At 40.1% G+C, this 26778-nt stretch overlaps 1 protein-coding gene across 23 annotated transcripts in view; it reads left to right on the plus strand.

Moving 5' to 3' along the window:
- The window catches only part of FGD4 (FYVE, RhoGEF and PH domain containing 4), a 246493-nt gene extending 219715 nt beyond the window's left edge, over positions 1-26778 (plus strand). For 19 of the 23 annotated variants that reach the window (NM_001370298.3, XM_047428291.1, NM_001304481.2 and 16 more), the window contains 7 exons: positions 426-598; positions 5150-5180; positions 5704-5796; positions 6382-6507; positions 14277-14417; positions 19383-19523; positions 21004-26778. In NM_001370298.3, coding sequence (NP_001357227.2) covers positions 426-598; positions 5150-5180; positions 5704-5796; positions 6382-6507; positions 14277-14417; positions 19383-19523; positions 21004-21261 — 963 coding nt within the window. In that variant the 3' untranslated portion in view covers positions 21262-26778. Of the gene's footprint in view, positions 1-425; positions 599-5149; positions 5181-5703; positions 5797-6381; positions 6508-14276; positions 14418-19382; positions 19662-21003 lie in introns of those variants that run through there. The other 4 variants (NM_001384126.1, NM_001384127.1, NM_001384128.1 and 1 more) reach the window with 2 other exon arrangements.

Genomic DNA, 26778 nt, shown 5'->3' on the forward strand with positions numbered 1-26778 from the left:
GCAGGAAGTACTGTGTTGTCTAGAAATTACTTAGAATTTTTGTCTAGGGCTACCTTTAAAATTGATCTGTTTCCAGCCGGGTGCGGTGGCTCACACCTGTAATCCCAGCACTTTGGGAGGCTGAGGCGGGCGGATCACGAGGTCAGGAGATCGAGACCATCCTGGCTAACACAGTGAAACCCTGTCTCTACTAAAAATACAAAAAAAAAATTAGCCGGACGTGGTGGCGGGTGCCTGTAGTCCCAGCTACCCGGGAGGCTGAGGCAGGAGAATGGCGTGAACCCGGGAGGCAGAGCTTACAATGAGCCAAGGTCACACTATTACACTCCAGCCTGGGCAACAGAGTGAGACTCTGTCTCAAAAAAAAACCTGATCAGTTTCCCCTATTTCTTTTCTTTACTGATATATGTTCTCGTTCCTTGCAGTTCAACAACATGTTGCTGTACTGTGTGCCCAAATTCAGCTTGGTAGGCTCTAAATTCACAGTTCGAACCAGGGTTGGCATTGATGGAATGAAAATTGTAGAGACTCAAAATGAAGAATATCCACATACTTTCCAGGTGTCTGGGAAAGAGAGAACACTGGAACTGCAGGCCAGGTAAGGGAACCATTTCTATCACACTGCTTTCCAAAATCAGGCAACAGAATGAATCATTAAAATAGAATGGCTCTGAGGGTTTTTCTCAAGTGAATGCTGCATATCTCTGGAACTCTGGTTGGATGTAAATGCAGAGCTGTAGGTTCTTGAAAAGCAGGAGTCATGTCTCCCCTCTCTTGATTCCTCCATAGTGCCTAGGACAGTGGTTTGTAGACAATAAGCATTCAGTAAATTGATTAACTCTTCAGAAATACAGGGTACTCAGAGGATGAAATTATTGCCATCAAGTCTTGACTTACAGTAAAAGGTTCTCTCCTAATCCTATGTTCACTCCTCCTTTTGGTCCACAAATGTTTATTGATGCTTATTATTCCATGCTAATCTCTGAGTCTTTCAGATACTCTACATTTTAGGGCCTTAGGGGCAATCAAATGAAAAGAAATGTTCATAAGAGGCAAGGTGGTAAGGGTAAAACTACCGCCACCATAGTTGCAGGATACATGAAGGGAGCCATTAGGGGCTCAGGTGGCCTCTGGCAACCAGGACTTCTAGAAGGTATGGCTCTTCTTATATTTTTATTTATTGATTGGGAGAGAAAGGTTTGGAGTTCTGGCTAACATTCCCCTAGCCATAACCATTTTTTTTCTTTCTTTTTTTTTTTTTTTTTTTTTTTGAGATGGAGTTTCGCTCTCATTGGCCAGACTGGAGGGCAATGGTGCAGTCTCGGCTCACTGCAGCCTCTGCCTCCCAGGTTCAAGCTATTCTCCTGGCTCAGCCTCCTGAGTAGCTGGGATTACAGGCGCCTGCCACCACACCTGGCTAATTTTTTTTTTTTTTTTTTTTTTGAGACGGAGTCTCGCTCTGTCTCCCAGGCTGGAGTGCAGTGCCCTGATCTCGGCTCACTGCAAGCTCCGCCTCCCGGGTTCACGCCATTCTCCTACCTCAGCCTCCCGAGCTAATTTTTGTATTTTTAATAGAGACAGGGTTTCACCATGTTGACCAGGCTGGTCTCGAACTCCTGACCTCAGGTGATCTGCCCGCCTCAGCCTCTCAAAGTGCTGGGATTACAGGCATGAGCCACCACACCCGGCCCATAACCATTTTTAAAGGATAAAAATCCATGAGAACGACTGCAGTTGATCATAGCTACCTCACGCATGAACCCCTGGAATACAGAGTGCTGTCAGGTTTTGAAATACCTGCTTTAGAAAACAGTCATCCAAGCTGGGCTTGGTGGCTCACACCTGTAATCCCAACACTTTGGGAGGCTGAGGTAGGAGGATCACTTGAGATTAGGAGTTCTAGACCAGCCTGGCCAACATGGCAAAACCCCCGTCTTTGCTAAAACTACAAAAATTAGCCAGGCATGATCCTGTTCCTGCACTCCAGCCTGGGCAACAGAGCGAGACTCTGTCTCAAAAAATAATAACAATAATAATAATAAGTCATCCATTTATTGTTCTAATGCATGGCCTGGTAAAAATTTGGATGCTTCAGGAGGTCACAGAGCAGAGGGTGAAGAACCAATCCTAGCTGTAGTGGTGTCAATATCCCAGAATCCACGGAGACTCAGAATGTTTTTCTGCTCCTTTCCATCATTAGCTTATGTTTCTGGCTGCTCAGGTGAATTTACCCTGGATATTCATACTTAGTAACTGCCTAAAAGCTGAAATTTCAGATTTTAAAAAGAGAAATCATTTTAACAGGAATCTGTGCCCAGGGAGTCCAAGAATTGGTGAATTTACAGTTTTGGAATGTGGGCAGGCTGGGAAAGTTTGAAGAAACAGCCAGTTATTTGCTTTTCCACAGAGAATATATACTGAACTTCCTTTTCCTTAGGGAGCAGGTAGCATTTGAAACTTGCCTTTGAGTGTCATTGTTTCCCTACCTCATGGTGGGTTTGGGCCCTAGCCCCTCAAACCCAAGGGCAGAATATATGATGCTCTGCTGAAGGCTCTTGACTGAGTCCTCACTCAGTGGTTGATTTACTGAGCTACTGGCCCTGGCAACAGGGAACACTTTTTTTTTTTTTTTGGAGACAGAGTCTCACTCTGTTGCCCAGGCTGGAGTGCAATGGCATGATCTTGGCCCACTGCAACCTCCATACCCTGGGTTCAAGCGATTTTTGTGCCTCAGCCTCCCGAGTAGCTGGGACTATAGGTGCCTGCCACCAAGCCCGACTAACTTTTGTATTTTTAGTGTAGATGGGGTTTCGCCATTTTGGCCAGGCTAGTCTTGAACTGACCTCAGGTGATCCACCCGCCTTGGCCTTCCAAAGTGCTGGGATTACAGGCATGAGCCACTGCGTCCAGCCTCATCAGTAGTTCTGATCATCATAGTTTTCATTGCAGAAAGAATGAAGGCGTTGCTAACTCTGAAACTTCAGCACACTTCCATCTGCAAACCCAAGACACGTGTCTAACTACAGGGTAGATATTTCTCAGGTTTCTTAGTTTGCCTGAATGGATACTTTCAGTCCTCCTTTAGCCAGTTGGGCTATTTTCTCATCAAGATGGGGCTAATTGGTGAGGAATTTTCTTAAGTACAGGCAATCATCACTTTATAACATATCCAACACGGTACTGGATACCTCCCAATTCTTGTTGGAAATATGGTTATTCTGTCTAAAATTTCTTATTTACCTAATCTTATTGCTCTAGTTATATTTATGCTTATATGGTGATATTGAAGATCTGAATTAAGTGATTACTTTTGGTATGATCTATCATGCTCTTTTTTGAGGCAGAGTTTTGCTCTTGTTACCCAGGCTGGAGTGCAATAGCACGATCTTGGCTCACTGCAACCTCCTCCTCCCAGGTTCAAGCAATTCTCCTGCCTCAGCTTCCCAGAGTAGCTGGGATTATGGGCACATGCTGCCACACCCAGCTAATTTTTTATTTTTAATAGAGACGGGGTTTCACCATGTTGTCCAGGCTGGTCTCAAACTCCTGACCTCAGGTGATCCACCCACCTCGGCCTCCCAAAGTGCTGGGATTACAGGCCTAAGCCACTGCACCCAGCCTATCATGCTCTTTTAAGAATGGGACAAACTGAAGTTCCAAGAAAGTCAGAGTGCCATAGGAATTATGTGGAATCAAAAAGTGGGTATATATTTGGAGATATTGAAAGATTTTTTATATTTTTGATTCTGAAGCTAACTGGGAAAAAAGGATCCCACTTTTCTTGCTAAAGTATGAGTCAGCCTCAAGACTGAAGTACATTTGTGCTTCTTCTACTTTCAAAAAGATAAAAAGTATTCTGTTTTATATACAGAATACTATTATGGTTGTCTATTGCTAAGTGGAAATAAAAATATAAAGGGGAAAAAAATCTACCATAACTAAAAACTAAAACAAAAAGCTATAAAGACTTGTTGGGTTTCTCTGCATTTGAAAAGCTAAAAGCAGCTAGCAGATAACTGTGCTTCCAGGGCAACAGAAATGTGGTGGCAAGGCAGAGCAATAAGGAGAGTTTTTTAATTTAAAAAAAATTTTTTTTTTATTTTGAGAAGCAAGATTGAAGCCCCCAGGTGAACAATAAGCAGAAGCTTCCACTTGGCAGACACAGATTCCAGCAGCATTCCTGGCACATCATGGTGTTCAATAATCAATTTGCTGGAAAGATAGATCGTGACACACAAACAATCCTTCAGCCAGTCTCATGCATGTTTCATACCTGTAGGAATCAGGCAGGTGACCTTCAGGCTGGAACTCAACTTAGCCCCTCTACCAAGCACATACAAACAGACAGAGCACACTCTGATCCTCTTCAGAATTTTTCAATTTGGAGCTCTTACCCAGTTCAGAGTCCACTAAAGAGGATTTTTCAAATGTGGTATGTGACAGAAGCCAGCAACGTAACCTACCTGCAAGAAAGAGGAAATAAAGTTTGCCTTATAGGAAAAAGGAAACCTGACTACAGTCAAAGAAATTTGTTTTCTAAGGATGATTACTAAACACTGGGGTCTATTAATCTGTAAAACCTCCTTCCTACAGGCATTTAAAATTTTTATATGCTTTTCTTTATCTAAAATGGGGTTAGGTTTGGTATTGCCTAAAGCCTTCTAAGAACTGGAAAATAAATTGTTTATCAAAGGAAATGTTAAATAGCTCCCTAAGGCTTTAGGGAGATATTTTAGATTCTCAAAGATAATTATTATCTCTTCTAAGATGGGCTGTGAATAGTAGCCTTTAGTAGCCTTCATGTGTTTTAGAAAACTGGAAGATTAGCTGTTGTATATTCAGTGTAATGCTATAGATACAGTTACCTGATATATCTAACTGAATGATGGTTATTAAACAGTATATAAATGGAAGCTAAACCTAACTAACCCCATCAAATTTTATGTGTACCAAAGTCAGTGGATAGTCTGAACCTCTACTTAAGAAGAATTTTATTTGTTTAATTGCCAGAGATTAATTTTTGTTATAATTCCTTCCATAACATCCCTGAATTTTCCAGAAAGTTGGAACAACAGGAAAGCATAGTTTTATTCACCCAGTGTGAATCATTAATATTATTTACATTCACTTTAATTTTGTTTTATTTTAGTTCTGCGCAAGACAAAGAAGAATGGATCAAGGTAAGCCTCATTTCTGTTTCCTTTTCTTTCTTTTTTTTTTTGAGGCAGAGTCTCACTCTCACCCAGTCTGGAGTGCAGTGGTGTGATCATGTCTCACTGCAGCCTCTGTCTGGGCTCAAGCAAGCCTTGCATCTCAGCCTCTTGAGTAGCTGGGACTATAGGCGTGCACCACCATGTCTGGTTAATTTTTTTTTTGTATTTCGTAGAGACGAGGTTTTGCCATGCTGCCCAGGCTGATCTCGAACTCCTGAGCTCAAGCGATCTGCCTGCCTCGGTCTCCCAAAGTGCTGGGATTACAGGTGTGAGCCACCACGCCCAGCTTATTTTCACTTTTGTTTTTTAGTAACATCTCTGTGTATACAAATGTGCATATATTGTTGTGTGTGTTTTAATATGTAGTAATCAGAACAGGTTCACTTAATTTTCAAAGTGATTCCTATCATAGATATTTGTTTGATAAAGTATATTCATTGGTTTATATGAGAAACTTTAATGTGTGCTTTGAATTTTACTTATACTTTAGGCCCTTCAAGAAACCATCGATGCTTTTCATCAAAGGCATGAAACCTTCAGAAATGCAATTGCAAAGGATAATGACATTCACTCAGAGGTTTCTGTGAGTTGAATTAAATTCTTAACTTCAACCTCTTTCATATCTTTGCAGGTGTAGAAGATCTGTCTAATCATTTTGTTCTCCAACCTTTTCCCTTTACAATGTCAGAACTGGCTGGTTAGACAGAATCTCATTCTTTCTTAGATGAACACAATAGTGAGTGACTTTTCATTCTACTTGAACTTCTTTGAATTTTTCTTATTCTTTTTTTTTTTTTTTTTTTTAACAGAGTCTTGCTCTGTCACCCAAGCTGGAGTGCAGTGACACAGTCTTGGCTCACTGCAAACTCCGCCTCCCGGGTTCAAGCGATTTTCCTGCCTTAGCCTCCCGAGTAGCTGGGATTATACGTGCATGCCACCATGCCCAGCTAATTTTTGTATTTTTAGTAGAGAGAGGGTTTCACCATGTTGGCCAGACTGGTCTTGAACTACTGACTTCAGGTGATCCGCCTGCCTCAGCTTCCGAAAGTGCTGGGATTATAGTTCAGAACATGGTTTGAGCAATGTAGTTAAAGTTCTTTCAAAAAATAATAATAAAAGGGAATTATAGTTTTTTTCTATTAAAATTGAATCTTTCTTCCCTTTTTAGACTGCTGAGCTAGGGAAAAGAGCCCCAAGATGGATCCGAGATAATGAAGTGACAATGTGTATGAAATGTAAAGAACCTTTCAATGCACTGACACGAAGGAGGCATCATTGTCGAGCATGTGGATATGTAAGTGAGATTTCTTGATCATTAAGGTTGCTAGTAACTATATAAGTGATGTAAAGTCATCAACTAGGGACACACAAAAAAATGACTTTCAACAAATCACTTAATAAATTTATTTTGGTGCCAATTACGTGCAGAGGACTGTGCTGAGCCCTGGAGAAAAAACGTTAGACAAAATGTTCCCTGGCTTTACAGAGCTTACGTTGTAATGGGGAAGACAGACAAATAAGAATTTCAAATTACTATAGATGAAATAAAAAAGCAATTGAGAAGTTAAAAATGGACAGTATTAGTAACAGAGGAAGATTTGGAACCAATTTTGGTTAGAAAAAGAGACCTATCTGAGGGGTTGGTATTTAAGTTGATGCTTAAAAGATTGAGAAAGGGGCTGGGCGCAGTGGCTTACGCCTATAATCCCAGCACTTTGGGAGGCCGAGGCAGGCAGATCACCTGAGGTCAGGAGTTTGAGACCAGCCTGACCAACATGGTGAAATCCCGTCTTTACTAAAAATACAAAATTAGCCAGGCGTGGCGGCGCATGCCTGTAATCCCAGCTACTTGGGAGGCTGAGGCAGGAGAATCACTTGAACCCAGAAGGCGGAGGTTGCAGTGAGCTGAGATCGCACCATTGCACTCCAGCCCGGGCAGCAAGAGTGAAACTCCATCTCAGAAAAAAAAAAAAAAAAAAAGGGGGTTGAGAAAGAGCTAATAATCAATAGAGACAGGGAAAAACTTCAGACAGTGAAAGTCTATATGCAAAGACCCTGAGGTAAGAAGGAACTTGGTCTCTTCATGAGACTGCCAAAGATCATGAGGCTGGAGCATGATGAGTAAGAGGAGGAACGTTAGATAAATAATGGCCAAGGGATATCTATGAGAAACAAGAATAGATGGAACCCACAGTACAAGTAGATGTTCTGGCTTTGATGGGGAGAGGAAAGCTTCCTCCATTATATCAGAGAGGAAGAAGAAAAAGATGTGTATAAATGTGGGTAAGTTGGCGTTTTTGTTGTTCTGGTGGTGAGAAATGAGGGAGTTTAGGTGCAATATCTATTTATTTGGTTTTTTTTGTTTTGTTTTTTGTTTTTGAGACGGAGTTTTGCTCTTGTTGCCCAGGCTGGAGTGCAATGATGCGATCTCGGTTCACCGCAACCTCCGCCTCCCGGGTTCAAGCGATTCTCCTGCCTCAGCCTGCCTAGCAGCTAGAATTACAGGCGTGTGCCACCACACCTGGCTGATTTCTGTATTTTTAGTAGGGATGGGGTTTCTCCATGTTGGTCAGGCTGGTCTTGAACTCCCGACCTCAGGTGATCCGCCCGCCTCGGCCTCCCAAAGTGCTGGGTTACAGGCGTGAGCCACCACGTCCGGCTAAATACATTTTTTTTCTTTTTTTTTTGAGACAGAGTCTCACCCTATCGCCCAGGCTGGAGTGCAATGTTGTGATCTTGGCTCACTGCAACCTCCACCTCCCGGGTTCAAGTGATTCTCCTGCCTCAGCCTCCCAAGTAGCTGGGATTTTGGGCATGCACCACCACGCCTGGCTAATTTTTTGTATCTTTAGTACAGACGGGGTTTCACCATGTTGGCCAGGCTGGTCTCGAACTCCTGACTTTGTGACCTGCCCACCTCGGCCTCCCAAAGTGCTGGGATTACAGGCGTGAGCCACTGCACCTGGCCCCATTTTGATGCAATATCTGTGTGTTCACTGAAGAATGAAGTAGAGTCATCAGTTGAAAGTTAAGGGGAAGGAGGAGGAGATGGGGAGATTCAAGAAAGAGGACTAAGTGTGAAGATTTTCTCTGGGCAGAGAAAAGTGAGCCTAGTAGAGAAACAAAGGTGGACTTGGGCACCTGTTAGAAATTTACAGTTATAAATTTAAAGGGACACTCGTCAGCTTAATGGCAATGATTTTTCTCTAACAAGATATAGCAACTCAGGCCAGCGAAGGCAGATAGCACGGTTTATCCAGAGTAGTATAATGAGAAAAACACTGGAAGAGAAGGGAAGTATTTACATCAGAGAGTTAATAATGAATAAGAGAAGTCTCAATTGGATAAAAAGAGCAGGAAAGCTAGGAAACAGGCTGATGGTTAATGAGAAAGTGGCGGGGTCAGTGGACAGAAGAATTTCGGTAAGTTCAGAGATGTATGGTAGCGGACATCTTGGGGGCAATGAATTAGAAATAAGAGAGATGTTGGTGAAAAAAATGGGATATGTGAACCTGGCATGCCAGATATGGTTCACCCTCTGATGGTGACACAGTCCCGGGGGTGACCATGAGATTGAACAGCTAAGGTAGACTGCACAGCGCTGGCAGCAGAGACATAAGGCGGTAGAGTTGGGCTTGTCATGTAAATGTTGAAGTCCACAGACATTGTGGTAGAGCAGAGAACTATGATCCGTTAGTGAGAAATTCCTGAGTGAATGGGTGTGGGGCAGATGATAAGGAGATGCTAACTCAGTAGGGGAGATGGGTAGAGCCAGATGATGATGGGCCTCAGAGCTGCCAGGGGTTTTTGAAGGCAAGAAAAGAGTCAGGGAATACAAGCCTCAATTCTCAGCCCTGAGGTCTCAGAGGTGACAGAAGGTGAAGTGGGAAAAAAAAAAGCCTCCACTAGAGAAAAGAGCCTGAGGATATGGAAGAGTTTGATTCTAGAGTGAAAGGTCCAAAGGTCCCAGTGGAAGGGCATGGAGGGGAAAGTGGGAGATGGCGACTGAACTAGATTAAATTATGTACAGAGGCCAGGCGCAGTGGCTTACACCTGTAATCCCAGCACTTTGGGAGGCTGAGACGGGTCGATCTCCTGAGGTCGGGAGTTCAAGACCAGCCTGACCAACACGGAGAAATCCCGTCTCTACTAAAAATACAAAATTAGCCGGGCATGGTGGTGCATGCCTGTAATTCCAGCTGAGGCCGGAGAATCACTTGAACCGGGGAGGCGGAGGTTGTGATGAGCCGAGATTGCGCCATTGCACTCCAGCCTGGGCGACAGAGCAAGACCGTCTAAAAAAAAAATTATGTAAAGAGCAATATGTTTGGGGATGAGGCTGAGAAAATAACCAGAGAGCTGGGCCTTTTCCTGGGATCTGAGATAAACAGGAAAGTGGGGCATGACATGAAGTGAATTCTACTGGTGTTTGAGATAAGGGTAGGCACCCAGACCTATTGCTGTGATCCCAAATGTTTCCTTGGTGGCATGGCAGCCTAAAGAATGGTGCTTCCTGAGTATCTAAAGAACCATGCTTCACCCTGAAGATACACATGTTATATATTGGTGGACACAAGCTGCTTGGTATTGGAGTAAGCACTGTAAGACAGGACTGGCAGAAAACTGAGGCTGGAATGGTGTAGGTAGGAATCAGGTCATTGAGAGCCAGAGATGCCATGGTAAGATGCTTAGATTTGATCACACCTTAAAGGGAATTGGTTCAATGAAGAAAGAGTTGAGGAAGACAGGGAGTAAGTAGTCAGGAATGACTTTAATGTTAAGATTTGGGTGACTGGGTAAATGGTAGTGTGCTGTTAATTGACATAAGAAATAGAAAAATGAAGCAAGTTGAAATGAAGGGGAGAGGAGCAGAAATAAAAATAACAGCAGTTACCATTTATGATGTACCAGTGCCAGGCATTGTTTGAAGTGTGTTGTGTATACTGTTGCTTATAGTTTCTCAATTACCCTGTGAGGAAGGTTCTATTTTCTCCATTATATAATTCAGAAATGGACTCATAGAAAAGTTATGATATGTTATTTCTGTTATTTGTTTTTCTTTTTTCTTACTGTCTCCCTGTGGGATTCAATTCAGATATATATAACATCATCTCATTCCATCTTCCATGTCTCTCCTGTTTTTATCTCTGTGTCTCTCTCTATAGCATTTTATTCATCTCTATCTCCCATTTTGTTCATTTACTGTTCAGTTGTAGCAAATCTGCTGTTTTGTTCATTTTTAATTTTTAATTATTTCCAAAAGTTTTTCCTTCCAAATCTGCCTGATCATTTTTGATAGTGTTTGTTGTTTGCCACTTTATGTTTTCAAACATTTCTTATGTAATTTTCAAATTTGTATCTAATAATGTCAGTAGCTGAAGACATTTCAAAGATTCCAAATCTGTTGTTTCTACTAAATTCTAGTTCCTGGAGCCTTGCTTTCTGCTGTAATTGGTCTCTTCTCATTGTGAGCTCTTATTTGGTTGATAGTTCATTATCTTCCTTTCATAAGTTTTGGCGTAATGACCGAGTCTCAGGTCAGCTCTCCCGTGTCCTCCAGGCCCCATGGGCTGTCTCCTAATCCCAGCACTGTCCATCCCAAGCTTTGTTTGCTCTATTCATTCACCATTACAATTTCAGCTTACTGTGTGTGTGTTATTTTGTTTGTTCATTGGGTTTGGGGGCCTTGGAAAATTCTCTTACTTTAACGTAAAGAAGCAAAGCATTACAATTATTTGCTGTATTTTTGTCCAGGATCCAGTCGTATTATAGCAAAATTCTTCTCAGAGTATCTACCTAGACTGTCATACTGACAGCAGCAAGAGTCAAAAACATATTTAATCGTGGTTATGTATTTCGTTATGACTGTTTACATAGTCTTTCTATATCTTAATGCTATATAAACTTCAGCTGGGCATGGTAGCTCACACCTATAATCCCAGCACTTTCGGAGGGAGGTTGAGGCAGGAGGATTGCTTGAGGCCAGGAATTTGAGACAAGCCTGGGCAACATGGTGAAACTCTGTCTCTACCAAAAATATAAAAATTGGCTGGGTGCAGTGGCTCATGCCTGTAATCCCAGCACTTTAGGAGGCCGAGGCAGGTGGATCACAAGGTCAGGAGATCATGACCATCCTGCACATGCACATGGTGAAACCCCGTCTCTACTAAAAATACAAAAATTAGCTGGGTGTGGTGGCATGTGCTTGTAATCCCAGATACTCGGGAGGCTGAGGCAGGAGAATGGCTTGAACCTAGGAGGTGGAGATTGCAGTGAGCCGAGATCGCGCCACTGCACTCCAGCCTGGCAACAGAGTGAGACTATGTCAAAAAAAAAAAAAAAATTAGCCTGGTGTGGTGGCACACACCCGTAGTCCCAGCTACTCAGGAGGCTGAGGTGGGAGGACGGCTTGAGCTCAGGAGGTCAAGGCTGCTGTGAGCCGAGATCACACCACTGCACTCCAGCCTGGGTGACAGACCCCAGGTCTTGACCCCATCTCAAAAAAATAAAAAAAAAATTATATAAACTTCTATAAAAACATAATTTTTCTGGTTTTTGTGTTTCTTTGATACTTCATAAATTCCCCTGTTGTTTATGCAGTTTCAAGTTCCTTATCCAAAAATATGTTTCTGATTGTAAGTTAATAACTATATTGCTAATATTTAAATGTATTGATGCTACATATAAACATAGTTTGATCATGATTTGGTCAGCCATTGAGCTGAGTTTCATATGGAAAGTGAGGAACAAACTATGGAATGAAGCTGGAGAGAGGCAGTGGCAGTTTTTGGAGGGCCTTGTAAACCAAGTTAAAGATCATAGCCTTTCTCCTAAAAGGAATGGGAGACACAGAAAACAGTAGGTGTTCCCAGTGTCATGAGTGAATATATTATTTGTGTGCTTAAGTGCAACAATTCATATTGATAGTTGTTTTAGCTTATTCTTCCTATTTTCCTCAGACTTATTTTTGACTCACTACAGTACTTTTGTGATTAAAATTAAATTGAGAGCAAACAGCTTTTTTTTTTTTTTTTTTTGAGGCGGAGTCTCGCTCTGTCACCCGGGCTGGAGTGCACTGGCGCGATCTTGGCTCACTGCAACCTCCACCTGCTGGGTTCAAGCAATTCTTCTGCCTCAGCCTTCCAAGTAGCTGGGACTACAGGCGGGCTTCACCATGCCCGGCTAATTTTTTGTATTTTTAGTAGAGACGGGGTTTCACCATGCTGGCCAGGCTGGTCTTGAACTCCTGACCTCGTGATCTGCCTGCTTTGGCCTCCCAAAGTGCTGTGATTGCAAGCATGAGCCACCATGTCTGGCCCAAACAGCTTTTTTATCAGGGTAAGACTTTTAAAAATCTGTCACTGAGTTTGATTGAAATGATTTTTGATATTGGCATACTTGCCTTCAGTAAGCAAAGAAAAAATGTGTTTGCATGTGCATTGTCAAAATACTGTGCTATGATTTGAAAATAAACAAAATGGATGGTAATGAGTTTGCGGTTACAGGTATGTCTAATTCTAAATCCCAGAGTAATTTCATTGTAATTATGAGCAAACAGTAGACCATTTTTATCATGAATTTTAAATGCTATAAATCTACACCAAAAATTTGACTAATATATTTTCTTTAATATAATTTATCTACTATAAACTGAGGGGGAAATACACTTCTATAAGCAAGAAGATAATGTGTTAAACTAGAAGATTTTAAACAATTATTCTATAATAGAGAAAAGTTATCACTAAGAAGTAATACACATTTGCATCATATTCATTCATTCAAAGACAGTCTCTCCTGGAGCTTACAGCCCTATAAGGGAGATAAACAATCAAATAATAATACAGGAATAAAATTAAAAGCTGTAGTCAGTGCTATGAAAGAAAACACAGAGAACACTGACAGTAGACACTCTGTGTCCTGGGGTTTGGAGGAGTCCTCCTTGAGGAACTGGAGTTTGAGCCAACATCTGAAGGGTGAGCGTTAAGTTAACTCAGTGAAGGAGAGAGGAGAGAGGCAGGGAGCATGGCCTTTGGGAACTATAAGAAGCCAGTGTCACTGAAGACAGAGTCCAGAAAGAGGGCAAATTATGCAGGACTTTGGAGGCCATGATTAAGAGTTGGTTCTTTAGCCAAGAGCAAAGGAAAGTCTGAAAGATTTTAAATAGAAGAGGAATAAATCAGAGTAGCTTTATTTTTATTTTTATTTTTATTTATTTATTTATTTATTTATTTTTTTTTTTTGAGACAGGGTCTTGCTTTGTCACCCAGGCTGGAGTGCACTAGCACTCCATCTAGGCTGGTCTGGAACTCCTGGACTCAAGCATCTGCCCTTCTCGGCCTCCCAAAGTGCTGAGATTATAGGTGTGAGCCACCACACCCAGTCAGATTAGCATTTTTAAGAGGGTGTCACTCCACTGTTTGGAAGATACAGCTTGGAGGAGGTTTAAGAGTGGAGGCCTGTAAACCAGTAAGAATGCTACAAGGACCAGTCACAAGCCTAGAAAAGAAGCCAAACTAAAACGCCATGGACTTGGGTGCTTATAAGGAAGTTGTGGAAAAATAGATTTAAGAAATATTTAGGAAGTAAAATCAGCGGGACTTTGTAAAATGGAAAATCTTTGGGTAAGATCGAAAGAGGTTCTGGGGATGACTCCTATGTGTCTGACACAGGACCAGTTGTATGACTGCCCCATTTCCTGCAATAGAGAGGACTGTGAGAGGGGACCGGGTTGGGAGGAGGGGGTGGGATGGGCTAAGAGAGACCAGGGAAGTTCGTGAGCAGTTTGGAAAGGATGTTGATGAACATCCAGAAGTATGAAGAGTCAAAGTCTTTGAAGGTCTTCTACCTTTAGAGGCCAGGAAAAGGATGAGTGAGCAGAGCTGGTCACAAACAGGGTTGAAACACCTTGATATGTACTTCTAGTGTTTATAGGGATGTTCCTTTTCTAACAAAAATCTGCCTTCTATGCTTAACATTTTCTCATTTATTATTACCTATAACTGATTACTGCTTAAATCATATCCTTTAAATATGATTACTGTTCATTTTTCTTTTAAATTTAAGGTGGTTTGTTGGAAATGCTCCGACTACAAAGCTCAACTTGAATATGATGGTGGTAAATTGAGCAAAGTTTGTAAAGACTGTTATCAAATCATAAGTGGATTCACAGACAGTGAAGAAAAGAAAAGAAAAGGAATTTTAGAGGTAAGAAATATTAAATATTGGATATCTTTTAGATTATTTTTTTCCCAACGGACTCTCGCTCTGTCACCCAGGCTGAGGTGCAGTGGCACGATCTCAGCTCACTGCAACCTCAGCCTCCCAAGTTGCTGGAATTACAGGCCCACGCCACCATGCCCGGCTAATTTTTGTATTTTTAGTAGGGATGGGGTTTCCCCATGTTGGCCAGCTGGTCTCAAACTCCTGACCTCAGGTGATCTGCCCACCTCGGCCTCCCAAAGTGCTGGGATTACAGGCATGAGCCAACGCACCCCAGCCTAGATTTTTACAGAAGAAATAAAATCCTCTTAGCTATGAGGAATACAAATAATATATCTTTGTTATTTCTTTGAGTGTTTAACAATTTGTATAATGAGCAAGATTTATGCTTTTGTTCTATTTTGCTGACTTTTGGGATTCTGCTTGGTTGCATAGAAAAGGGGGGCTGCTGGTTAAATCAACATGCATTTAAGAATGAAATACATTGATTTCGTGGCAGTAGCTAGAGCCAAATATTTCAGTATTAATTGGCATCTCTTCTTATACCCAAATTATTGTAGTATGTTTTCTATAAAGGAAAGCTTTTACTCTCAATTTCGTCATATTGGCTTTACAAACCACTTTAGATAAAAGTGCTATTACCTGACAGACTCTTCCAACTTTTTATAGTAAAATATCTAGTTTACTATAGTCATTTAATTGCCAGTGATGGTAATCTGATAACTACATTAAATATTATTGAAATGTCTCCCAAGTTAATTTGACTAATGTTCTGGAAAAAATTCAGACCCCCCCACCCCAAGCCTGAGAACTATAACGCAGCTTATCTGAAATGAGTTTTACATCTAGAGATATTAACAATATAAGGGACAGGTTATATAATAAGGCCTTTGTGGCAGTAGGTTCAAGGTAGCCTGGAAAGTCTATAGAAGAATAGGCTCAGGATCAAAATGCTATGTATCTAAAATCATAGACATACTTGGTTTATTAAGAATCTCTAAAGAGGCTGGGTGCAGTGGCTCATGCCTGTAATCCCAGCACTTTGGGAAGTTGAGGCAGTTGGATCACGAGGTCAAGAGATCAAGACCATCCTGGCCAAATGGTGAAACCCCATCTCAGCTAAAAATACAAAAATTAGCTGGGTGTGGTGGCACACACCTGTAGTCCGAGCTACTTGGGAGGCTGAGGCAGGAGAATCGCTTGAACCCGGGAGGCGGAGATTGCAGTGAGCCAAGATTGCGCCACTGCACTCCAGCCTGGTGACAGAGCTAGACTCTGTCTCAAAAAAAAAAGAATCTCTAAAGAATCAGTAAGTATTTATTGAGCATTTACATTGTGTAAGCGTACAAGTATACCTGTACACTTACAAGTGTACAAAGGTCACTTCTGTTCATTGATAAAGGGTTACAAACTTCAAGGTCCATTTGAGGCTAAGTGTAGCCCCACACACTAAAATCATTCTTCCAGGGTATAGATGTTACTCGTATGGCCTACCAAACTGGGGCTTTCTCAGGCAGTAAGGATGGAAAGACATGCTTCATTGGACATCAGGAACAGAGCCTCAAGACTTAATAGCGACAACTGATGAGACTGGCACAATATAATGAGTCGGGGAACTTGGTTTTAGGGTCAGCTTCAGGCCGTATCTCTGAAAAATCCCTAGCTAGTATTTTAGAGAACCTTATACTGAGGAAAAATTAATGAATTACTTATTAGGTCAACTCATATAATGAAATAAATATATAGTATGAAGTCCATACATAGGAGACAAGTATGTACATGGACACATTAACTTAAATGCATATTCGAGACTGATTTTGTACCAACTAGTATGTTATATGCCCTAGAACAGTGATCAACACACTTTCCTGTAAAGAGTCAGAGAGAAAATATTTTAGTCTTTGCAGACCAAGAGGCCAAACCAAGGATATTACATACATATTTGTAAAAAGAGAGAAAACAAATTTCCACAATTTTTTTTTACAAAATTAAAATTATATTTATTTAGGCTTTTTAATAATATGGATCAGCTGGGCGCAGTGGCTCATGCCTGTAATCCCAGCACTTTGGGAGGCTGAGGCGGGCGGATCACAAGGTCAGGAGTTCGAGACCAGCCTGGTCAACATGGTGAAACCCCGTCTTTACTAAAAGTACAAAAATTAGCCCGCGTAGTGGTGTGCCCCTGTAATCCCAGCTACTCGGGAGGCTGAGGCAGGAGAATCACTTGAACCTGGGAGATGGAGGTTGCAGTGAGCTGAGATCGTGCCATTGTACTCCAGCCTGGGTGACAGGGCGAGACTCTGTCTCTAATAATAATAATAATAATAATAATAATAATAAGGATCTACTAATAAGAATGGAATTCTTTGGGGGAGGATAACCATTCACTTAATTGGAATCTGAAGTTAGCGTTCCCTATCATCAAATTAATTGTAAGTGGTCGCGTAAAAAAACACCCTGGCTCATGGGCCATACAAAAACAACTGGTAGGCTGGATTTGGCTTGTGAGTTATCGTCTGCTAACCAGTGCTGCTTTAAAAATTGTCTGTGGCCAGGTGCGGTGTGGCTCACGCCTATAATCCTAGCACCAAGGCTGAGGTGGGTGGATCACCCGAGGACAGGAGTTCGAGACCAGCCTGACGAACATGGTGAAACCCCATTCTACTAAAAATACAAAAATTAGCCGGGCCTGGTGGCGTGTGCCTGTAATCCCAGCTACTTGGGAGGCTGAGGCAGGATAATCGCTTGAACCTGGGCGGCGGAGGTGTCAGTGAGCCAAGATTGAACCATTGCACTCCAGCCTGGGCAACAAGAGCTAAACTCCGTCTCAAAAAAAAAAAAAAATTGTCTATGCTGAAGCATCAGTTTTTTTTTCCTGAACTATCACAGATCAGTGTTTTTGTAAAATACACTGTAATGCACTTGGTTATCATCACAAATTCAAATTGTTATAAAAGTTTAATACTTACTCCTACTTTGTGTGCTTACCAGAAACTGGTAACATAAACCATTTGCAGACCTGGAGACCAACATGAATAACACTGAGTAGCACTACCTGAAGGGTTTTGGAGACAGAAAATAGAAGCAAACCAGTTAGTTTCCATAAGGCATATAATAAAAACTACCATTTAGTTAAATGGTTTTGTTCCTTTTTTCAGTATTTTTTTTCTTTTTTTTTTTTTTTTAGACAGAGTCTTGCTCTGTCACCCAGGCTGGAGTGCAGTGGTGCGATCTCAGCTCACTGCAATCTCTGCCTCCCCGGTCCAAGCAATTCTTATGTCTCAGCCTCCTGAGTAGCTGGGATTACAAGCATGTGCCACCACACCTGGCTAATTTTTTTCTTCTTTTTTTTTTTTTTTTTTTTAGTAGAGGCAGGGTTTCACTGTGTTGGCCAGGCTTGTCTCAAACTCCTGGCCTCAAGTGATCTACCTGCCTCTGCCTCCCAAAGTGCGGGGATTACACGTGTGAGCCACCGCACCCAGCCTTTTAGCCAACAATTTTTATATTAGGAGGCAAAATAGAAAAATTAAATGGCTCTATGTATTAGTCTGTACTCACACTGCTATAAAGACATACCCAAGACTGGGTTATTTATAAATAAAGGAGGCTTGGCCGGGCATGGTGGCTCACGCCTGTAATCCCAGCACTTTGGGAGGCCAAGGCAGGCAGATCACGAGGTCAGGAGATCGAGACCATCCTGGCTAACACAGTTAAACCCCATCTCTACTAAAAGTACAAAAAATTAGCCAAGCGTGGTGGTGAGTGCCTGTAGTCCCAGTTACTCAGGAGGCTGAGGCAGGAGAATGGTGAGAACCTGGGAGGTGGAGCTTGCAGTGAGCTGAGATCGTGCCATTGCACTCCAGCCTGGGTGACAGAGCAAGACTCCATCTCTATGAATAAATAAATAAATAAATAAATAATAAATAAGGCTTAATTGACTCACAGTTCCGCATGGCTGGGGAGGCCTCAGAAAACGTACAATCATGGCAGAAGGGGAAGAGGCACATCTTACATGGTGGCAAGCGAGAGTGAGCAAGTGTATGAAGGAAGAACTGTCAGACACTTACAAAACCATCAGATCTCATGAGAACTCACGATCACGAGAACAGCATGGGGGACACTGCCCCCATGATCCAGTTACCTCCTATCAGGTCTCTCCCTCGACACATGGGGATCGTGGGGATTACAATTGAAGATGAGATTTGGGTGGGGACACAAGGCCTAACCATATCACTCTACAAAAATTGATTGCACTGAAAAAATCTTTAATTAGGTGTACTCAAACAAAGATTGCTGGTTACTATTTGCCTTTTTGCTTTTATATTCTTTCTTAATTGAAGTAGGTATCGCATTGTCGTTAAAAGTTCAGGCTCTGTTCTGGGCACAGTGACTCACCCCTGTAATCCCAGCACTTTGGGAGGCCAAGGTGGGAGGATTGCTTGAGGCCAGGAGTTCAAGACCAGTGTGGGCAATGTAGTGAGACCCTGTTTCTACAAAAAATTTAAAAATTCTCTCCCAGCTACTTGAGAGGCTGAGGCAGAGGATCGAAGTTCAGACTCTGGATTCAGACTCTCTGGGTTCAAATCCCAGCATGCCAATGTGTGATCTTGGGAAAGCTATTTAAACTCTGAGCCTCAGAAAAAATGAAAATACTACCTTCTCAGTGTTGGTGTGAGGATTAAATGAAATAAGACATGTATTGAGCTAAGGAAAGTGCCTACATAGTAAGCAATCAATAAACACTTAACTCTTTAAATTCAAGGTCTAGTTACGTAAAGAGCTAAAATTGGCTTAAATATTTTCCATGTTAAAATGTTTAAACAATAATTGCAAATGAATCTTTTTTGGATAGTCCAGGGAAACATTTTGTATAAACACATTGTACTTTGTGAATATTTCTCTATCTGATTTGTTGTGTGTTCATTCTGTCTTTCCATTATATTTTTCTAGATTGAATCAGCAGAAGTATCTGGAAACAGTGTGGTGTGCAGCTTTCTTCAGTATATGGAGAAGTCAAAACCTTGGCAGAAAGCTTGGTGTGTGATCCCCAAGCAAGACCCTCTTGTGCTGTACATGTATGGTGCCCCCCAGGTATCTAAACCACATCTGTCTGAAGGGACAGATGCCCTTGGGGGCAAGGGGAAGCGAGTGGACAGCGGACTCAAAATCTGTAGAACAAGAGTTCAGGCAGTTTCACTGTTTCATTAAAATTGAAAAATAATGAGTAAAGTTCAAGTTTGTTGTTTAAGCTGATTGATTCATTTTATAGCCTATATTTTCTTCAGTTTGTGGATCATCTGTCCCCTTTCTTGTCTCATTCAATGGGTTTGAGAAAAGATGAGTTGAATTAGGAATGAGCATGAGGAGAAGGGGAAGCAAACGGGAGAAACAAGCCTTTTTAATGATAGGAAACATTAAGAAAAGACTTTTTAATTTTGTTTTTTGTTTGTTTGTTTGTTGTGTTGTTGTTTTCTTTGTGACAGAGTTTTGCTCATGTCACCCAGGCTATAGTGCAATGGTGCAATCTTGGCTCACTGCAACCTCCACCTCCTGGGTTCAAGTGATTCATCTGCCTCAGCCTCCCGAGTAGCTGGGATTACATGTACCCACCACCACACCTGGCTAATTTTTATATTTTTAGTAGAGACAGGGTTTCACCATGTTGATCAGGCTGGTCTTGAACTCCTGACCTCAGGTGATCCGCCCACCTCGGCCTCCCAAAGTGCTGGTAATACAGGCGTGAGCCACTGCGCCCAGCCAATTTTGTTTTTTATTTTATTTTTTCTTTTTGCTCAATGGATAGATATCTGAAAAAGGAGTTTGAGAGGAAGGGGAACTTAAAATCAGTCTTGCATTATCATTCAGTAGCAATTTTTTTGAGAACCCCACGTATATGGATCTGAGATAAATCTATGGGAACAATGATATGCAGGTTTAGCTTTTAACAAGAGCAGCACCAGGTCCTATGATTGTGTTGTGCTTGAAGAATCAAATGTACAACACTTAAACCAGTTATGCATTTACTCTGAAATATAAAAATTTTACATATACCTGTTGTATTTCAGTCTATAAATTAAGGGCTGGTAAAATTATTTTATTTTGAAAATAGACTGAAAATGACAGGCTATATAGTTTACTCTCCTTTATTGCTTTTCCTATAAGCTTTCTATGTCCATAAATAAGTTGATGGAATAAGTGAATCACCAGATAAAACTGCCTTTAGTAATGAGATTCTCATTACTGTTTGCTGGTTTAATACAGTATGATGGCGATTTTTCTTCCCCTTTTCACTGAATGAAGAGTTGAAAGGCTCTTTTCACAGAGAGGAGGGTGTAGTGTCTCTGAGTCCTAGCTGATTTGGGTGTCAGCTCTCATTCATTCAGCTAACATTATCAGTGGCCTCACGTACAGGCTCTGTACTAAGCAATGGGATTGCCCTCTGTGCCCATGGAGAACTCACCGTTTAAGTCTGTTTGGGACAGTGGTAGGAAGAGAGGTTTAGTAGGAGCAAGGGACACACTTAACAAGCGAATACATCACCTGCTTTTAATGTCTGATGTCTTTTCTTTAGGACGTCAGAGCCCAGGCCACCATTCCACTTCTGGGCTATGTGGTGGATGAAATGCCAAGGAGCGCAGACCTGCCACACAGTTTCAAACTGACCCAGTCTAAGTCCGTGCACAGCTTTGCTGCAGACAGTGAGGAACTGAAGCAGAAGTGGCTGAAAGTCATCCTTTTAGCTGTCACAGGTGAGACACCAGGTGGTCCAAATGAGCATCCAGCCACCTTGGATGATCATCCTGAACCTAAGAAAAAATCAGAATGCTGAACTCCTCCAGGACCAGCCATGGTGTGGAGGTCTCAGGACTTACAGCTCAAGACATTCCCAGCTCTTCTTACACATCTGCTAGCACTTTATGTTGAAAAATATAGGCCCATAAATGCATCTTTTGAGGACTATTTTCCTATGTTTATGTACTCTTAGTGAAATTAGTGTGCAGAGTCATTCTACCGATAAAGTTTTGAAATAATGTGAAAACTGGAGCATTTTTTGAGCTATTCCTTGAATATGTGCTTTTTTGTCTTGAAGAAATGGTGTATCAATTGATTCTGTCACCGTCAGGTTAGAATGAGCACTTCCATTTAAGAAATCCTTTCATGTCTTCTTCTCTTTCACATGTAGGACCTGGAACAGTTTGAAAGATATACCTCCATGTTGCCAAAATAGATCCATGGTGAAAAATACAGGGACAGTTGAGGCTATTGTATTAACTTATTTAATTTAGTTTATAAATCTCTAGCTGCATAAATGATGTCTGTTCTTTTAAAACAAAAGAAAAAGGACAAATTGTTGGTGTTCAGATTTCCGATTTATAAAGAAAAGATAACTTGTTTTTGTAGAAATACTCCTAAGAATGTCTTAAGTATATAGCAATTATGTATATATAGTATTAAATATATATATTATACATGCTTTTAGGTTCACATTCATCTCTAATTTATTTTTTAAATATAAAGCATGGTTTATCGTGGAATTGAGCAATGTTCTAAACTGAAGAAATGTTTTGGTGATTTATGTTTTGCTGATTGGCATTTGAGGGTATTGATATTTTTATAATAAGCGGTAATTTATGTGGCATGGGATATATTTGTGAATTCCAACAGTACTTTTAAAGTACCATTTTTTGTTTCTGTGCCTATTTAAAACAGTGCCTCTCTTAGAAGGTGCTATTAATATAAGATGAGGGTTCAGTTAATGCTTCAGTCTTGATTATTCTAAGATTAAAGTGCATTTTGGTCACTGGGACAGTCAAAGTCATACAGGTTATTTTACCGTTTACAATCCTATAATTATTGCAGTAGTTAACATCAGCATGTACAAACATTTTCACCAAAACCCAAACTTTATGAGACACCTGACCTTTTACAGAACTAGGATATGTGGAAACCACATTTATCGTAATGTTTTTCTTTTCCGTAAGATAATCGAGCATGGTTAAATAAGGTCTCTATATAATGAACACTTAAGATAACTGTATGGGCCTTTTCCTTTGTCGGAATGAAACAAAATCCACATGTGATAACCTATGTTTGGGGTGGGGGCTGGTCACATGATTCCTTGTCATGAAGGCTGCTCTTCACTCTTTTGTACTTGTGATTAAAATCTCACACTAAGTTTACTATTTAACTTAATCCTTTTTCTCAAATTAAACCTTTTTTTATACTGTCATACCCCAAACATTGTCACTTTTTAATGTACCAGTCTGCTAGAAATCTACAAGAATGATCCCACTATCTTTAGTATGTAAGGATTACACCTTAGATATAGAATAGAATTTGAGACTGCCACACATTTATTCAGGCCTTGTTACTTTAAGAAATATCTTATTTTTTCCACCCCAAAGGAGCAAGTGAACCAATTATTGCTGACATAATAGGTTCCCTTCCTCCATAAAAGGATTATCAGCCATGATCATTAACATTAAACCAAATAGATGGAGCCAAAAAGAGATAAAAGTAGCTTCTTAGGCCCTATTAAATCAGGGAAAGACTAGAAGAAAATTTACATTGCTTCTCTTTTTTAATGGCCAGCGGGGTATGTGTGTGATGTATACTCAGAGTGGTTTTTTGGAAAATTAAACTGTAGCTATAGATGATGCTTTGGTTTTCTTAATCTCAAGAAAAGAGAAGCAATGGAAATACAGAATGATTAACTGGGGAAGAGGACTTTTGTAAGTGTGACTAGAACAATGGTAATGTATGGGCCAATGGGAAGATTTATAAGTCAGATTATTTTTGAAAACTATTTTTAAAAGCAAGAAGACTACACTTTCCCTACCAAAACAGAAGTAACATGGACACACTTAAGTTTTGGCTCAATAAATATCAATGTTATTTAACTTAGATCATTGAAAGAATACTCATGTAAAGATAATGTTTATTATCATGCTCTTAACAGTCATTATCTTTAATTTTTTAAATGAGAAGCATTAATACTAGAAGAGAATTTCTGGTTATCCGGTCACCATATTCACTTTCCACCCCACATTCTTCAGCTAAACGCAAAGAGAAGCAGTGAAACAGCCTTACCCGCTTCTCTCTTATTAAAGAATCACTGATGTTTTTACTCAATGAAAGGTAAAGTAATACCCTTAGCCATTTATTAAACAATTCAACCAAGAGACCTCAAAGTGTGATTGATGATAAGAATAATCAATGCCTTTTCCCTTCCAACATACTTGAGCAGTCATGACAACCTAAAAATATCATTGGTTGCTTTCCCATTAAAACCAACGTTCCCTGTGGGTCTTAATTCTTTATTTTCACTCATTTGGTGCTTTCCAAGTCATCTTTTCTTTAAAGTGCCCTTCCTCCAAACTTTAAAAAGTACTTCCTTGACAAAATTTCTATTCATTATAAAACATTTCAATATTTTAAGCTTAAATTTTGCTTTTGCTGAAAGCCTACCATTTGGCGTGTTAAGTATGAAATATAGTGCAGACTTTTATCTTGGTTTTAAGTGGGGCTCAATAAAAAACACCAGCCACTTTTGTAATAATGGCATCACAGTGTCATCATGTATGCAAGCAATAAAACTCTTTAGGGTATGGTTTTATACTGAAAATTTAATATGAAGGCCCCTTCCCACAAGAATATAGATAATTATTAACTTTCTAGATGTGATACGGTAATTCGAATTGCAGAGTATAAGGAAGGGAAATGGGAAGGGGCATCATTCCTTGGATTTTAAATAACTATCAAGAACATTTTTACTTTAACAAAGAAAATGGATAGAAAAAGCACATTTTGTTTTCCCTGAAGTTTAATTTGACATCAGGTTTGTGTACTTATCTTCACTAGGTGACTTAACTTACCCCAATTTTTTTAAAAATTATTAAACTTTTTACAGAAACTAACCTTTTAAATGTACCCTTTCCCCATATATATATACGCACACGTTTGGATTTTTTTTTTTTAAGAACACTTGTTCTAGTTATAAATATATAAAGAAAACGATAAAGTTTGTGGTACTGCAGGGTTGTTAAAGATTCTTTGATGCCTTCTAAAAACTTTTGTCAAAAATACTTTTGAGTTCACAATTCTGTTTTACTTTTCCTTGTCCTTACTTTTTGGAAACAGGGTGGTTGCTTTTATTTGTTTTCTGGTTATATTCAAAGCCTTAAGTTCTTAATCTGAGCATATTGTCTGTGATAAATTTCTGATGATCTTTCTGGACTAGATACAACCTGAGTAGCAAGCACCAACCGGAGCAAGTAAACTTCTAGGGAACAAGCGTCTTGGGTTTTATAGGTATCTTTGCTATAATGCAGAATAGATTAATGAAGATTTCCTATATCATATGATATTTGTGTTAGTGGGTCTAAGATTAAGCACATGATATTTATAAGCTAAAATTAACTCAAAAGTCAAGAATGTCTTAATGTTTTCATTCTTAAATTTTGTATTCTCCAAGAATGTATTAGTATATGAACTGTGGCCAACCAGTTCCTATTCTTCAGACTGTATTGACATCTGTAGTGGATCATGTTGCTTCTTCATTCTTACCAATTTTATTAGAATCAAACTTCTTGTTATTTGCATACTATTATCTACTATAGATTCTCAGCTTTAGAAAATGACTATGATACATAAAGACCACTAGGTCAACTTAAAAAACCCTTTCTGTGAATTTATACATGTATGTATATATGTAAAAACACTGTTGATTTGCAATTCTGTCTTTCCATAGAAATGAACTTTTTCTATCGAAATTGTTTAACTTAAATATTTTAACATAAATTATTTACATGGATCTTTATGTATAATTCATCCTTATATATACCCCTTAATCACGTAGTCATGAGAAGATAACTTTGCTTTCTTTACAGAAAGGGCAGAGAGGAATAAGATAAGAAACTGAAACAAGCAAGAATGAAGAGAGATGTGGGGGAGAGACTGCTGGTCTCCAGACCACAGCAATGTGTTTTAAGATAAGATGAAATATTTTAACTGCAGAAGGGATATAAAATCTATGTAATTACATGCTGATGGGATCCATTGCACCCAGGTTTTTGACCTTGGCCTGTAAATGCTAGACTATGATATCTTGTTATTCTTTTTCTCCTTTGGGCTTTTAAAAAATAATTTCATTCTCAGATCATTTTCTGTACTGTTTACTGAGGCAAAAAAAAAAAAAATCTGAAGTCAATCATGGTCTTCTACTTTCTGGACTGAGCATTTGGCAGAATGCAGTATCTTTTCCTGTATTTTGACATGAAATAGCACATGGCTTCTACAAGATAGTTTTAACTTGTTGGGGTCACCGGGAGTTATATGATGGTCAACCCCTTTTCCCAAAATTCATTGTGGTAGTTTTAGTGGAAAACGTAAATCAAGAAATCTCATATCATACTTTAATAAATAAATACCAAATACATAGTGACATATAGGTTTGGGAAGAAACTAGTCTGTGGGGACCATTATAAGAGAATCACATTATATATTACACAGTATATGGATATTGGAATGTATCACTTGTGGGGGGTTCTCTTCATTAGCAAAACAGTCATGTCTGTCTGTATATAAGACTTTTTTTTTTTTAACCAAACTAGCATTTCATTTTGTGAGTGACAATTGACATTTTAAAATAAGCATAGGCCGGGCATAGTGGCTCATGCCTGTAATCCCAGCCCTTGGGAGGCCGAGGTGGGCAGATCACTTCAGGTCAGGAGTTTGAGACCAGCCTGGCCAACATGGTGAAACCCTGTCTCTACTAAATAAAAATAAAACAAAATAAGTGTATCTGGGCCAGGCACGGTAGCCCATGCCTGTAATCCCAGCACTTTGGGAGGCCGAGGAGTTCGAGACCAGCCTGGCCAACATGGCAAAACCCTGTCTCTACAAAAATTAGCCAGGTGTGGTGGCACATGCCTGTAATCCCAGCTACTCGGGAGGTTGAGGCAGGAGAATTGCTTGAACCCGGGAGACAGAGGTTGCAGTGAGCCGAGATTGCACCACTGCACTCCGGCCTGGGTGACAGAGCAAGACTTCGACTCAAAAAATAAAATAAGCGTATCTGGATTTTTCTTTTGAATTCTTGACTGATAAGTTTGAGAATGTATGTTTTTGGAATTTTACAGTTGACTCAAGTGTGAAAGTATACACAAGTAATTTTTCTTTTCTAGCTATGTGAATGTAAAATACTTGCAGATAATGTATATATTGTGTAATATATGTATATTTGGTCATAAAAGCAGATAATTGGAAACATTGTAAAATTAAGCACTTTAATTCCTATTAAATATTAAACATTTGTATCTTGTAAATAAACACATCCTTAAATTAA

Source organism: Homo sapiens, chromosome 12, assembly GCF_000001405.40.
Source record: "Homo sapiens chromosome 12, GRCh38.p14 Primary Assembly".
NCBI lineage: Eukaryota > Metazoa > Chordata > Mammalia > Primates > Hominidae > Homo > Homo sapiens.